At 41.7% G+C, this 15975-nt stretch overlaps 3 pseudogenes; 1 reads left to right on the forward strand and 2 right to left on the reverse strand.

The window, feature by feature from the left end:
- Positions 584 to 842, forward strand: RN7SL644P (RNA, 7SL, cytoplasmic 644, pseudogene; annotated as a pseudogene).
- On the reverse strand, positions 1923 to 2082 carry LOC124902594 (uncharacterized; annotated as a pseudogene).
- On the reverse strand, positions 9991 to 11387 carry EIF2S2P3 (eukaryotic translation initiation factor 2 subunit 2 beta pseudogene 3; annotated as a pseudogene).

Below are 15975 nucleotides of genomic sequence, written 5' to 3' on the forward strand. Positions count from 1 at the left end.
GTAGACAAAGAGTTTGGTGGTTCCTGAAAAGATAAACAGAATTACCATATAGCCCAGCAATTCCATTCCTAGCTGTCTTCCCAAGAGAAAAGAAAACATGCATCCACAAAAATTTATACACAGATGCTATAGCAGCACTATTCACAATGACCCAATGGTGTAAACAACCCATCAATATATGAATGGATAAACAAAATGATTATATACGTATGATACATTACTCAGCCATAAAGATGAAGTACAGATACAGGCTACCATATGGATAAACCTCAAAAACATTATGCTAAGTGAAAGAAGACACAAAAGTTCACATATTCTATGATTCCAGTTTTATGAAATATCCAGAATAGGTAAATTCATAGAGTCAGCAGACTGGTGGTGGTTAAATCTGGTGTGAGGGGAATGCAGAGTGACTGCTTAATGGGTATGGGATTTTCTTCTGGGGTGTTGGAAATATGTTGGAACTAGCCTGTAATCCCAGCACTTTGGGAGGCCAAGGAGGGCGGATTACCTGAGGTCAACAGTTTGAGACCAGCTTGAGCAACATTGTGAAACCCCGTCTCTACTAAAAATACAAAAAATAGCCAGGTGTGGTGTCGGGTGCCTGTAATCCCAGCTACTCGGGAGGCTGAGGCAGGAGAATCGCTTGAACTTGGGAGGCAGAGGTCACAGTGAGCCGAGATTGCACCACTGCACTTCAGCCTGAGTGACAGAGTGATACTCTTTTTCTTGTTTGTTTTTGAGACAGAGTTTTGTTCTTGTTGCCCAGGCTGGAGTGCAATGGCGCAATCTCGGCTCACTGCAACCTCCGCCTCCCAGGTTCAAGCGATTCTCCTGCCTCAGCCTCCCGAGTAGCTGGGATTACAGGCGCCTGCCAATATGCTCAGCTGATTTTTGTATTTTTAGTAGAGACAGGGTTTCTCCATGTTGGTCAGGCTGGTCTCGAACTCCCGACCTCAGATGATTCACCCACCTCGGCCTCCCAAAATGCTGGGATTACAGGCAGGAGCCACTGCACCTGGCCAGGGTTCTTACACTATATATGAATCAGTATAATAATTTTTGAAAGTAGACCATGGTTAATTCATGATGTATATTGTAAGCCTTTGGGCAATAACTAGGCAAAAATTTTAATGGATATAAAACAGATTCATAAAAGTACTCAGTTAATTTTAGAATTACAGAAAATGAGGAAAAGGGGACAAAGAACAAAGAAAATAAACAGAAAAGAAGTAGCAAATGGATATATTTAAGCCCAATAACATTAAATGTAAGCGGTTTAAATAAACTAAAAGATAGATCATCAGATTGGATAAAAAGTAATTATAATCTATCTACAAGAAGCCCACTTCAAATAGAAAAGATATATACAGATAAACAAGAAAAGGATGGGAAAGATACACAAACCCTCATCAAAAGAAAGCTAGAGTGTCTATATTACTACCAAAGTTGACTTTAGAATGAGGAATGTCACCAAGGATAAAAAGGAACATTACATAATGATAAAGATGTTAATTCACAAAGAGGTATAACAATTCTACATATGTACGTACCTAACAACAGAGGTGCTAGAAACTGACAGGACTGAAAGGAGAAATAAACAAATCCACAGTTATAGCTAGAGACTTGAGCATTTTAAGTAACAGAACTAGAAAGAAAATCAATAAAGATATTGAAGACCTGACAACTCTGTCAACCACCTTGACCTAATGAATATTTATAGAACAATATACCCAACAATAGGGGAATATATTATTTGTGAAGTGCTTGAAACATTCAAACAATATGAACTATATTCTGGGTCATTAAAAAACAACTCCACAAGTTTTAAAGAATTGAAATCATACAAGTATGAAGTCAATACATACAACTTGAAGTCAACAATACACACAACTTGAAGTCAATACAAGTCATACAACTTGAAGTCAATAATACATAGTTGGGGATTTTCCAACTATGTATTATTGACTTCAAGTTTAACTCAATTTTAAGTCAAGTCTAATTCCCCAAATATGTCCAAATATTTGGAAATTAAACAACACACTTCTACACTTGATCTTAGCCAAAAGGCCGAGAAACGATAAACAACACACTTCTAAACCTACTCATCAAAGAGGAAATCACATGTAAAACTAGAAAAATTTAAACGGTGGCTTGTGCCTATAATCTCAGCTACTCTGGAGGCTGAGGCAGGAGGATCACTTGAGGTCAGGAATGTGAGAGCAGCCTGGGCAACATAGCAAGACCCCATCTCTAGAAAACAAAAAAATTAAAAATTTGGCTGGGTGCAGTGGCTCACGCCTTTCATCCAACACTTTGGGAGTCAAAGGCAGGCAGATCACTTGAGCATGGGAGTTCAAGACCAGCCTAGGCAACCTGGTGGGACCCCCATCTCTACCAAAAATAGAAAAAATTATCTGGGGGTGGTGGAGCATGTCTCTATTCCCAGCTTCTTGGGGAGGCTGAGGTGGGAGGATTGCTTGAGCCCAGGAGGCAGAGGTGGCAGTGAGCCGAGATTGTGCCACCGCATCTTGGCCTGAGTGATGGAGTGAGATCCCATTTCAAAAAAAAAAAATTAGCTGAGTATGGTGACACACACCTGTAGTCCCAGCTGAGGCTAAGGCAGGAGGATCACTTGATACACATATGCATACATACATACATATATGTATGTAGGTGTAGTTATATAATATATATAGGTATGTACAACTATAAATTTCTTCCTCAGCACTGCTTTAGTTACATCCCATAAATTTTGGTGTGTTGTATATTTGTTTCATTCCTCTCATAGTATTTTATAATATCCCTTGTGACTTTTTCTTTAACCAACGGGTTATTTAGGAGTGTGTTGTCTAATTTCCTCATATCTGTGAACTTCTCAAATGTCCTTCTGTTGTTTATTTCTAATTTTGTTCCATTATAGTTGGAGAAAAATACTTGGTATTACTGCAGTCAATTTAAATGTATTGAGATTTGTCTCATATGTCATAGGCCTAACATATGGTCTATCCTGGAAATGTTCCATTCCCACTTGAGAAAAATGTATCTTATACTGTTGTTTGGTAGAATGTTCTATAAAAATCTGTTAGGTCTAATTGGATTATAGTATTGTTCAAGTCTTTTATTACCCTCTTGATCTTCCGCCTATTTGTTTTATTAGTAAAAGTGGCATATTTAAGTCTCCAACTGTTATTTTTTAATTGTCTGTTTCTCTCTTCAATTCTGTTATTTTTTTGTTTCATGTATTTTGGGGTTCTGTTGTTAATTACATATGTTTGTAGTTATGCCTTGCTAATAAATTGATATTTTATCATTAAAATATATCCCTTTTTATAACTGGTAACAATTTTTGCCTTAAAATCTATTTTGTGGGATACTAGAATAGCCACTGCAGTTCTCTCTGAGTTACTGTATGCATGGTATAGCTTTTGCCATCTTTTTTTTTTTTTTTGAGATGGAGTCTCACTTGTCACCCAGGCTGGAGGGCAATGGCATGGTCTCGGCTCATTGCAACCTCCGCCTCCAAGGTTCAAGCAATTCTCCTGCCTCAGCCACCTGAGTAGCTGGGACTACAGGCTCATGCCACCATACCTGGCTGATTTTTGTATTTTTAGTAGAGACAGGGTTCACTATGTTGGCCAAGCTGGTCTCGAACTCCTGACCTCGTGATCCACCTGCCTTGGCCTCTCAAAGTGCTGGGATTACAGGCGTAAGCCACCACGCCTGGCTGCCAACCTTTTACTTTCAACATATTCATGTCTTTGAATCTAGTGTGTCACTTGTAAGACAACATATAGTTGAATCATTTTTTAAATCCATTCTGCCATTCTCTTACTTTTGACTAGGGTGTTTAATCAATTTCAAGTCATTACTATTAAGGAAGGAATTATGTCTGCCATTTTGCTATGTTCTCTATATGTCTTATGTCATTTTTCCTTTCTATTTTCCATTATTGTCCTCTTTTGTATTAAATAGATATTTTCTAATATACCATTTTAATTCCTTTGTCATTTTTTTTTTTTTACTATGTATATTTTTGAGTCATTTCCCTTGTTGTTTTGGAGATTACAATTAACAACTTAATTTAACAATCTAGTTTAGGTTACTACCAACTTAATATCAATAGTATACAAAATCTAGCTCCTATGTAGCTCTGTTCCCTTTCCCCTTCTTTGCAATGTTGTCATAATTACATCTTCATACATTGTGTGCCCATCAGCACAGGTTTATAATTATAACTTTATGCAGTAGTCTTTAAAATCATTTAAAAGAAAAAAAGAATTATAAGCAAAAATATATTCATATGGTCTTTTATATTTATCTATTTAGTTACCTTTACCAGTGCTCTTTATTTCTTCATGTGGTCTCAAATTACTGTCTCGTGTTCCTTCATTTCAAGATGGACTCCCTTTAGTATTTCTTGTGTGACAGGTTTGCTAATGACAAATTGTCTCAGTTTTGTTTATCTGGGAATGACTTACATTTTGCTTCATCTTTGAAGGTTGGTTTTGTTGGACATAAAATTCTTGGTTGACAGTCTTTTTTCCAGCACTTTGAATGTCATCCTATGGCTTTCTGGCCTCCATGGTTACTGATAAGAAGTCAGCTGTTAATCATGTGAAGGAGCTCTTCTAAATGATTAATTGCATTTCTCTTTCTTCAAGACTCTTTTCTTTGGATTTTGACAGTTTGATTATGATGATGTGTATAGGTGTGGATCTTTTTAAGTTTGTCCTAGTTGGAGTTCATTGAGCTTCTTGGATATGGAGATAAATGTTTTTCAGCAAATTTATTTTGTTTTTCAGCAAATTGTTTCTTCAAATATTATTTCTGTCCTTTTCTCTTCTACTAGGACTCTCATTATGTGTATGTTGGTATACTTGATAATGTCCCACAGGTCTCTGATGTTCTATTCATTTTTATTTATCCTTCTTCCTTTCTGTTCCTCAGACTAGACAATCACAATTGACTTTTCTTCAATTTTTCTTCAACTGACTTTTTTAAGAACTTCAAGATGCCTCCTGCATGAACTTGTAGGTTTTGTTTGTGAGTTATTGTTGACTCTAAAGGAACACCTCGTTGCAGAAACAGGAACCAGGTCTAGGAGTTTTACTGTCAAGCCATATAAATATGCCTGACAGTAGGCCTTGAGCCATTTAATATATTCTTCACTGATAATTCTGGTGTTTCCTAGAGATCCAATGGATCAAAAAAGACTTTTGCTGAGTCTTGGTTTTTACTTAATCACATTTGCTTGTGAGTCCCTCTAGTGAATTTTTAATTTCAGCTATTGCACTTTTTAACATTGTTAAAAACATGATTTCCTTTAATGCTTTGAACACATTTAAAATATCTTCAAGTATAGTTTCTATAGATTGCTATTTTCCTGTGTAAGAACAATACTTTATTTCTTTGCTTGTCTCATAATTTTATACAGAAACCTGACATTTCTTTTTTGTTGTTGTTTTTTGAGATAGAGTCTCACTGTTGCCTAGGCTGGAGTGCATTGTTGCTATCTCAGCTCACTGCAACCTCTGCCTCCCGGACTTAAGCAGTTCTCATGCCTCAGTTTCCTGAGTAGCTGAGACTAAAGGCATGTGCCACCACGCCTGGCTAATTTTTGTATTTTTAGTAGAGATGAGGTTTCACCATGTTGGCCAGGCTGGTCTCAACCTCCTGACCTCAAATGACCCACCTGCCTCAGCCTCTCAAAGTGCTGGGATTACAGGCATGAACTACCATACCAGGCCAAAAACTGACATTTCTAATAATACAATGTGACTACTCTGGAAATCAAAGTATTTCCCCTTCTAAGGACTTGTTGATGTTGTTTTTTTGTTGTTGTTGATGTTGGGTTTTTTTTTAGTGGCTTTTCCAAATGAATCTGTGAAGTATGTCTTCTTTGTCACTGAATTCTCTGCTCACTTAGCTTAGTGGTCAGCTAGTGATTAGATAGTTACTTAAATGACTGAATCTATTTCCCCTCCCAGCCATTTCCAAGAGGCTCTGTGTATGTTTGTGTTGGGGCACCCTTCACACTCAGGCAGGCATTTAAAAATGCTGACTTAGCTTTCATCATTTTTTTGCAGTGCCTCAAGGTCAGCCAGATGTTGTGTTAGAACTTAGGACCTTCTTAGGTCTTTCCTGGCATGTGGACAGATTTGAGCATGCACATAAGCCCATGTATGTGCATGGCCTTCTAGAGTCCCATGAATATGTCAGCAGTTTTTTTGTTTTTTTGAGATGGAGCTTAGCTTTTGTTGCCCTGTCTGGAGTGCAATGGCGCAATCTCGGCTCACTGCAACCTCTGCCTCCTGGGTTCAAGCAATTCTCCTGCCTCAGCATCCCGAGTAGCTGGGATTACAGGCGCCCGCCACCATGCCTGGATAATTTTTGTATTTTTAGTAGAGATAGGGTTTCACCATGTTGGTCAGGCTAGTCTCGAACTTCCGACCTCAGGTGATCCGCCAGCCCTGGCCTCCCAAAGTGCTGGATTACAGGCATAAGCCACTGCACCCAGCCCCTAATTTTTGTATTTTTAGTGGAGATGGGGTTTCACCATGTTGGCCAGGCTGGTCTCGAACTCCTGACCTCAGGTGATCTGCCTGTCTCAGCCTCCCAAAGTGCTGGGATTACAGTTGTGCGCCACTGCACCCAGTCATGTCAGCAGTCTTGAAAGCCTCCTATGGACACCTCATTCCCCAGCTCTTCTTTCGATGGTTTTTTGTTTGTTTGTTTGTTTTGGCTGGGGGGCAGCTTGTTTGCCTCAAATGTTACCACTACCTTAGTTAGCTGCATGTTAGCCATGCTACTGATTATTTTCAACAAATGTCCCAGGTGAAAGGCTATTCTCACCGAGTGGGGTCTGAGTTGGGTCAAATAAAGGCAAACATTTGTTTGTTTTTTTTTTTCGAGACAGGGTCTTGCTCTATCACCCAGGTTGGAGTGCGGTGGTGTGACCATAGCTCACTGAAGCCTCGAACTCCTGGGCTCAAGCAATTCTCCTGCTTCAGCCTCCTGAGTCGCTGAGACTACAGGTGTGTGCCACCACACCTAATTTTTTTTTATTTGTTGTAGGGGCAGTGTCTCACTCTGTTGCCCAGGCTGGTCTTGAACGCCTAGCCTCACACAATCCTTCCACCTCAGCCTCCCAAAGCAATGGGATTATAGGCCTGAGCCACCGTGGCTGGCCAAGGCAAGTCTTGTGAATGAGGGTTTCCAGGCAATTGTCAGACAGGCCAAATAAGGACAGTTCTTAAATAATGCTATTTTGGGGATCTCCAAACCCATTCGGTCCTAGCAAGTGGCTGCTAGGCTACTGGTCTTCACTATGATTGTAGAACTGTTGGTTTTGAAGACTAATGAGGAGTTGAGGAGAGTGTTGAGAATAAGGCAAGTTAAAACACCACAAAGCTCACCATTCTTACTGAGATACAGCCTTAAAAAAAAAAGTTCCTTGGGTTGTTGCAAAGCTTTGGTTAATTTCAGAATTCTGAACATTTTTATTTTACAAGTTATCTCAATATTCTCATTGCTTTTATGGAGGAATAGGTTTTTAGAGGCCCTTATGCCACCACTCCTACTGACCTCACCTCATTCAGTTATTTGAAGGCATCATGCCATTGTCTGCTTCAATTTTTTCTGTTGCAAAATCATAGTCAGTTTAATTATTGTTCCTATGAAAATAATCTTTTTCTCCTTGGTTACTTTTTTTTTTCTTTGAGACAGGGTCTGGCTCTGTCACTCAGTCTGGAATGCAATGGCACGATTTCAGCTCACTCCAACCTCCATCTCCCAGGCTCAAGCCATCCTCCTACCTCAGCCTCCTGAGTAGCTAAGAATATAGGCACGCACCATCATGCCCAGTTAGTTTTTGTATTTTTAGTAGAGACAGGGTTTTGCTATATTGCCCAGGCTGGTCTTGAACTCCTGGGCTCAAAGCAATCTACCTGCCTCTGCTCTTTGGTTAGTTTTAAGATATTTCTGTATCTTTGGTTTTTAGCAGTTTTTCTCTGATACACCTCAGTGTGACTTTGTATGTATCCTGCTTAGGGTTTATACAGTGCTATAGACCTAATTGTGTCTCCCCACCCCCCAATCCACATATTGAAGCCCTAACTCTCAATGTGAATGTATTTGGAAATAGGCCCTATAAGGAGTGAATTAAGGTTTAATGAGGTCTTGAGGGTGGGGTTCTGATACTACAGAATGTGTGCTTGTAAAGAAATACCAGAGAGCGCCCTTTACCCCGCATCCCACTCTGCCATGTAAGAACACAGCGAAAAAGCACCATCTGCAACCCAGGAAGTGAGCTCTCACCAGAACCCAACTGTGCTGGCACCCTGATCCCAGACTTCCAGCCTCCACAATTTGAAAACATTTCTGTTCAAGCCACCCATTCTGGCTGGGCATGGTGGCTCACACCTGTAATCCCAGAACTTTGGGAGGCCAAGCCAGAAGGATCACCTGAGGTCAGGAGTTCGAGACCAGTCTGGCTAACATGGTGAAACTACGTCTCTACTAAAAATACAAAAATTAGCCAGGCATGATAGCACGCATCTGTAGTCTCAGCTACTAGGGAGGCTGAGGCACGAGAATGGCTTGAACCTGGGAGGCGGAGGTTGCGGTGAGCCGAGGTTGCGCCACTCTGCTCCAGACTGAGCACAACTCCATCTAAAAAAAAAGCCACCTATTCTATGGTATTTTATGGCAGCATGAGCTGACTAATACATAGAGCTTCAGTCCCATTCTTTTTTTCTGAGATGCCAGTTACATGTATGTTAGACTTCTTTACCATAACCTCTTTATGTTTCTCATCCTTTTGCCTACCCATGCCTTAGTAACAGATGACCCTTAAATAATGCAGGGGTTAGGGTGCTGTCCCACCCCATGCAGTCGAAAATTTGTATATAACTTTTTTTTTTTTTTAAGATGGAGTCTTGCTCTGTTGCCAGGCTGGAGCGCAGTGGGATGATCTTGGCTCACTGCAACCTCCGCCTCCTGGGTTCAGGGTTCAAGCGATTCTCCTGCCTCAGCCTCCCGAGTAGCTGGGATTACAGGCGTGAGCTACCGTGCCCAGCCGTGTATAACTTTTGACTCCCCCCAGAGCTCAGCTATGAATAGCTTACTATTGACTGGAAGCCTTACTGATAACATAAACAGTCCATTAACACATATTTTGTATATGTATTATATACTGTATTCTTACAATAAGTAAGCTACAGGGAATAAGATGTTATTTAAAAAGTCATAAGGAAAATATATTTACTATTAAGTGGATGTGGATCATCATAAAGGTATTTGTCTTTATGGTCTTCATGCTGAGGAGGAGGAAAAGGAGGAAGAGGAAGAAGAGGGGGGGAGGAGGAGGAAGGGTTGGTCTTGCTGTCTCAGGAGCAGCAGAGGTGGAAGAAAATCTATAAGTGGATCCACACGGTTCAAGCCCATGTTTTTCAAGGGTCAACTGTAACTATTTTCTTACAACTATCACCCAGTCTTTTTCTCTTTTTAACTGACTAGCCAGTAAGTAAATCCATCTCGTTTGTAATTTTTTGCATTTTTCAATTCTAGAATTTCCATCCGATTACTTTTTATAGTTTCCAGCCAAAGTACTCCATCTTGTCTTTAAAGTTTTTGAAAATTCAATTTTTAAAAATCTTGCTTGGGCTGGGCCTGGTGGCTGTGGCCTATAATCCCTGCACTTTGGGAGGCTGAGGTGGAAGGACTGCTTGAGGCCAGGAGTTCAGGACCAGCCTGGGCAACATAGGGAGACCCCGTCTCTACAAAACATTAAAAAATTACACCAGTATGGTGGCATGCACCTGTAGTCCTAGCTACTTGGGAGGCTGAGGTGGGAGGATCACCTGAGCCCAGGAGTTGAAGCTGCAGTGAGATATAATCACACTACTGCACTCCAGCCTAGATACAGAGCAAGACCCTGTCTCAAAATCTTGTTTTGCAACTCCATTAGCTGTATGGTGCTTTTTTTTTTCACAGTTATAATAACTTTAATTTATCTTGCATTTTACAGAAATCTATGAACAATTTTTAAAAAGCACCTCCTTACCTCATATCATGTTTCTCTGACAGGTGTTAAAGTAGGCAATGAGTATGTCAACAGCTTGAGCATCAGCGTCTTGTAAGGACTTCAGACCAATCAACCACTCGCCAAAAATCTTGGCAGGTTTTTTATCTTGTTTTTAATACAACGGTATATCCACTCTGATGGCAAACCTGTCCAGCCACATCTCCACAACACGCTTTGCAAAATCAGTGATTAGCAAATTAGTTAGCTTTGGCACGGTGGTGTGCTCACTTGCCCATTACAGCCTGGTAGCTGGTTTTGATGCTGGCAACAGAACATCTAGAATGACAAGTTTCGCACTGTAGGAAATAGATTCGCATGTCCTTCTGCAGGATTGTGTCCAGTAATCGGCACGTGTGACAAGTGACATATTCCTTGATATATCTTCTCAAGACATTTTCTATCTGTTTCTGTTGGAATCTTCCTTTGATTACAAGTTGGTTATTACCATCTATAGAACCACTTGTACCCAATTCAGCCAACAAAAATGCACGGAGATGTTTGGGCTGATGATGTAATAGTTTACAGATATGTGTAAAGTTGACAAAAGACGTTTTCTTGGTTCCTACTCGGACGACCTGTGGAGGTTTCATGACAAATTTCCTTATGTCCCCAGCAACCATACCTGGATTCTTTTCCCTCATGATGTTGAACACTCGATTCAGTAGCTCCTCATATGTGTAGTCTCTTTCTGAGCCTGCCCAAGCAGGGCCTGTCTGATTACTGAATGAGATACCATCATCTTTTTTGCTGTCTTCCTCTTCTAGAACTTCATCTTTCTCTAGTATTTCATCCTCATCTGGGAACTTGACCTTCTTCTTCTTCTTTTTATTGCCAAGCATAATGTCAAGGTCATTCTCTGGTTCAGTTGGTTCTTGAACATCACTTTCAATCTTAAGATCCTTTACACCTTCTTCAGCTTCATCAATATCAAATATCTTTTTAGTTTTTTTTTTCTTTTTCTTTTGATTAAAGAAGTTCAAGTCATCTAGATCACCAGCAGCATCTTTTTTCCTAGTGTCCTCTTCATCAGCTTCCAAATCTTTGTCCTCAGTTGGCTCTGGCCCCACTTCTTTTGTTTCTGAAGGCTGGGTTATCTCTGTTTGGGTATCCGCTTCCTCATCTAACATAAAAGGCTTCTTTTTCTTCTTTTTCTTTTTGCTCACAGTAGGATCAAAAATCATCTCGTCCCCAGACATGGCTGCGGCTTGAGTGGGCTTGGCACGGACGGGAAGTCAGACGGGTCAACCCCAGACCCCGGCTGCAGCGCTGCTCCTGCCGGTACCTCTCCCACCACCGCACTGGTGCTTTGTTGTTGTTGTTGTTTTTCTTTCTTTCTATTGTCTGTCTTTTCTCTTGGTTTTGGATCAAGGGCTATCTCCTTGTATATCAGGGTTTTTTTTTTTGTTTTTTTTTTTTTTTATATGGAGTCTTGCTCTGTCGCCCAGGCTGGAGTGCAATGGCAGGATCTCGGCTCACTGCAACCTCTGCCTCCTGGGTTCAAGCGATTCTCCTGCCTCAGCCTCCAAAGTAGCTAGGACTAGAGGCGTCTACTACCACACCCAGCTAATTTTTTGTATTTTTAGTAGAGACAGTGTTTCGCCGTGTTAGCCAGGATGGTCTCGATTTCCTGACCTCGTGATCCGCCCGCCTCGGCCTCCCAAAGTGGTGGGATTACAGGCGTGAGCCATTGCGCCCGGCCCGTATACCAGGTTCTTTTTTTAAGGAGTGTAAACAGCTATATTTTATGGGTGCACAATATTTTTAAAATTGTAACATTTAAGAACTTTTTCATATCTGCTAATTAATTCTACGAACAATATTGATGCCTCTTTAATATATGATAGGACACTATTTACTTATTTTCTTTTTTAAAAAATTTTAATTAAAAAAAAAAAGACTATTGGCTGGGCGCAGTGGCTCATGCCTGTAATCCCAGCGCTTTGGGAGGCCAAGGCGGGCAATCACCTGAGGTCGAGAGTTTGAGACCAGCCTGGCCAACGTGGTGAAACCCCATCTCTACTAAAAATACAAAAATTTAGCCAGGCATGGTGGCAGGCACTTGTAATCCCAGCTACTCGGGAGGCTGAGGCAGGAGAATCGCTTGAACCTGGGTAGCGGAGGTTGCAGTGAGCTGAGATTGCCCTATTACACTTCAGCCTGGGCAACAAGAGCGAAACTTCGTCTCAAAAAAAAGAAGAACCTAGTAACAGTACACTTTAAATTCTTCTCTTTAATCTTTTCTATGATTGTTTTTATTTATAAATGTGCAATAAACCCATAATACATTCCACTATATTTCTTTTTGAAAGTCAATAATTTTTATAGAGATCAAAAATAAAAGTAAAAAAGTTTTTATATTTAATTTTAGTCATTTCCAGAAATCTTCATTTTTTGTGTGTAGATTTCTTTGCTTTGTGTATAATACCAGATTCTGTGATATCATATTCCTCTTGCTTAAAGAACTTTTTTTTTTTTTTTTTTTGAGACAAGCTCTTGCTTTGTCACCCAGGCTAGAGCATAGTGGCATGATCACAGCTCACTGCAGCCTCTACCTCTTGGGCTCAAGCAGTCCTCCCACCCCAGCCTCCCAAGGAGCTGGGACTACAGGTGTGCACCACCATGCCTGGCTAATTCTTTTCTTTTTCCTGTAGAGACAAGGTCTCACTATATTGCCCAGGCTGGTCTCAAACTCCTGGGCTCAAGTGATCCACCTTGGCCTCCCAAAGTGCTGGGATTACAGACGTGAACGACCGCGCCTGGCCTAAGAACTCTCTTTAACATTTCTTTTCTTTCTTTCTTTCTTTTTTTTTTTTTGAGATGGAGTTTCACTCTTGTTGCCCAGGCTGGAGTGCAGTAGTGTGATTTCGGCTCACCACAACCTCTGCCTCCCGGGTTCAAGCGATTCTCCTGCCTCAGCCTCCCGAGTAGCTAGGGTTATAGGCATGTACCACCACGCCTGGCTAATTTTTGTATTTTTAGTAGAGATGGGGCTTCTCCATGTTGGTCAGGCTGGTCCTGAACTCCCGACCTCAGGTGATCTGCTCACCTCGGCCTCCCGAAGTGCTGGGATTATAGGCGGGAGCCACCGTGCCTGGCCAATATTGCTTATAGTACAGGACTGTTGGTAATAAATTGTTAGGTTTGTTTTCTAAAGAAGTATTCATTTTGCCTTCATTTTTGAAAAGTATTTTCATTGAGTATAGAACTCTGGTTAAAAGTGGGTTTTTTCAATATTTTTTAAATGTCACTTTATTGTCTTCTGGTTTGCACAGTTTCTAATGAAAAACCTGGTATAATTCTTATCTTCGTTCCTCTGCATTTAATGTGTCTTCTGTTTTTGGTCGTCTTCAAAATTTTCTCTTTCTCTTTGGTTTTCAGTAGTGTGGTGGGCGGCTAGGTTGCTAGAGGGTGTTTCTTTTCCTTTGAGACAAGCATCTTGCTCTGTTGTCCAGGCTGGAGTACAGTGGTATGATTACAGCTCACTGCAGCCTCGAACTCCTGGGCAGGAGTCAGTACAGAGCAGCAAATGTTGAGGTTTCACAGGGGCCTCTCTGGAAACCTCGCCCTCAAGGCCCTGGCTTGTCTTAAAGAGCTCTGAAATGCCTCTGGGATCATCCTTCCATTGCCTTAATAAATGGAACCTGGCTTTCCTCTATTCCTACAATCTCTTTAGCAAATTTTTGCTTGGCTATGGCCTTGGTTTGCTCTCCTAAAGATGCCTTTTCACTCTTTACCAGGCCAGGCTGTGAATTTTCTAAATCTTTCTGCTCTGCTTTCCTTTTAGTGATAAATTCAATCTTTAAATTATTTCTCATCAGGCCTGGTGCGGTGGCTCACGCCTGTAATCCCAGCACTTTGGGAGGCTGAGGTAGGTGGATCACTTGAGGCCAGGAGTTCGAGACCATCCTGGCCAACATGGTGAAACCCTGTCTCTACTAAAAATACAAAAATCAGCCAGACGTGGTGCTGCACGCCAGTAATCCCAGCTACCAGGGAGGCTGAGGCAGGAGAATCACTTGAACCTGGGAGGTGGAGCATGCAGTGAACTGAGATGGCGCCATAGCACTCTAGCCTGAGCGACAGAGCCAGACTCCATCTCAAAAAAGAAAAAGAAAGAAATACAATTAATTATTTCTCATCAGTTCTTTGGTAGGGGTAAAAGAATTCTTTCTATCCTCTCACATCTTACTACATGCAGTTAAAAGTAGCCACGAAGCTCCTTCAATATTTTTCATCTTAGAGATTTTTTCCACTAGATATTCTATTTATTTTTTATTATTGTTTATTTTTTTGAGATGGAGTTTCACTCTTGTCACCCAGGTTGGAGTGCAATGGTGCAGTCTTGGCTCGCTGCAAGCTCCACCTTCTGGGTTCAAGCGATTTTCCTGCCTCAGTCTCCCAATTAGCTGGGATTACAGGCGTGCGCCACCATGCCCGGCTAATTTTTGTATTTTTAGTAGAGACGAGGTTTCACCATATTGGTAAGGCTGGTCTCGAACTTCTGACCTCAGGTGATTCACCCACCTTGGGCTCCCAAAGTGCTGGGATCACAGGCATGAGCCACCGCGCCTGGCCTACTGTCCATATTTCTATGAACATTCTAAACATCACTGTAGTAATCTCTAGGAAGGTCCAAACTTTGCTGACAGCTTTTCTCTTCTTCTGAGCCTTCTTAAGAATTGCCCTTAGTGCTTCATTCATGGCAGTCTAGGTGTTTTCTAGCCCGCTCCTCTAAATTCTTCCAGCCTCTATGCATTACCCAGTTCCAAAGTTGCTTCCACATTTTCAGGCATTTGTTATAGCATCAGCCCTGCTTCTTGGTACCAGTTTTCTGTCTTGGTCCATTTTGTGCTGCTATAAGAGAATATCTGAAGACTAGGTAACTTATAAAGAAGAAAATGTATTTAGCTCCCAAACTTTCAAGTTCTGGAGCCTGGAAAGTCCAATATGAAGGTGCCAGCATCTAATGAGGGCTTTCCTGCCACATCATCCCATGGCGGAAAATGAGAGGGTGGGAAAGGATGAGAGAAGGCTGAACTCGATTTTATAACAAACCCACTATCTTGACGATGAACCCACTCCCGTGATAACAACCTTAATCCATTCATGAAGGCAGATCACTCATGACCTAATCACCTCTTACACATCCCATCTCTCTTTTTTTTTTTTTTTTTTTGTATTTTTTTTTAAATTTATTTTTTTATTGATAATTCTTGGGTGTTTCTCACAGAGGGGGATTTGGCAGGGTCATGGGACAATAGTGGAGGGAAGGTCAGCAGATAAACAAGTGAACAAAGGTCTCTGGTTTTCCTAGGCAGAGGACCCTGCGGCCTTCCGCAGTGTTTGTGTCCCTGATTACTTGAGATTAGGGATTGGTGATGACTCTTAACGAGCATGCTGCCTTCAAGCATCTGTTTAACAAAGCACATCTTGCACCGCCCTTAATCCATTTAACCCTGAGTGGACACAGCACATGTTTCAGAGAGCACAGGGTTGGGGGTAAGGTCACAGATCAACAGGATCCCAAGGCAGAGGAATTTTTCTTAGTGCAGAACAAAATGAAAAGTCTCCCATGTCTACTTCTTTCTACACAGACACGGCAACCATCCGATTTCTCAATCTTTTCCCCACCTTTCCCGCCTTTCTATTCCACAAAGCCGCCATTGTCATCCTGGCCCGTTCTCAATGAGCTGTTGGGCACACCTCCCAGACGGGGTGGTGGCCGGGCAGAGGGGCTCCTCACTTCCCAGTAGGGGCGGCCGGGCAGAGGCGCCCCTCACCTCCCGGACGGGGCGGCTGGCCAGGCAGGGGGGCCGACCCCCCCCACCTCCCTCCCGGACGGGGCGGCTGGCCGGGCGGGGGGCTGACCCCCCCACCTCCCTCCCGGA

The sequence above is a fragment of the Homo sapiens genome, chromosome 10 (genome assembly GCF_000001405.40).
Source record: "Homo sapiens chromosome 10, GRCh38.p14 Primary Assembly".
Taxonomy (NCBI): domain Eukaryota; kingdom Metazoa; phylum Chordata; class Mammalia; order Primates; family Hominidae; genus Homo; species Homo sapiens.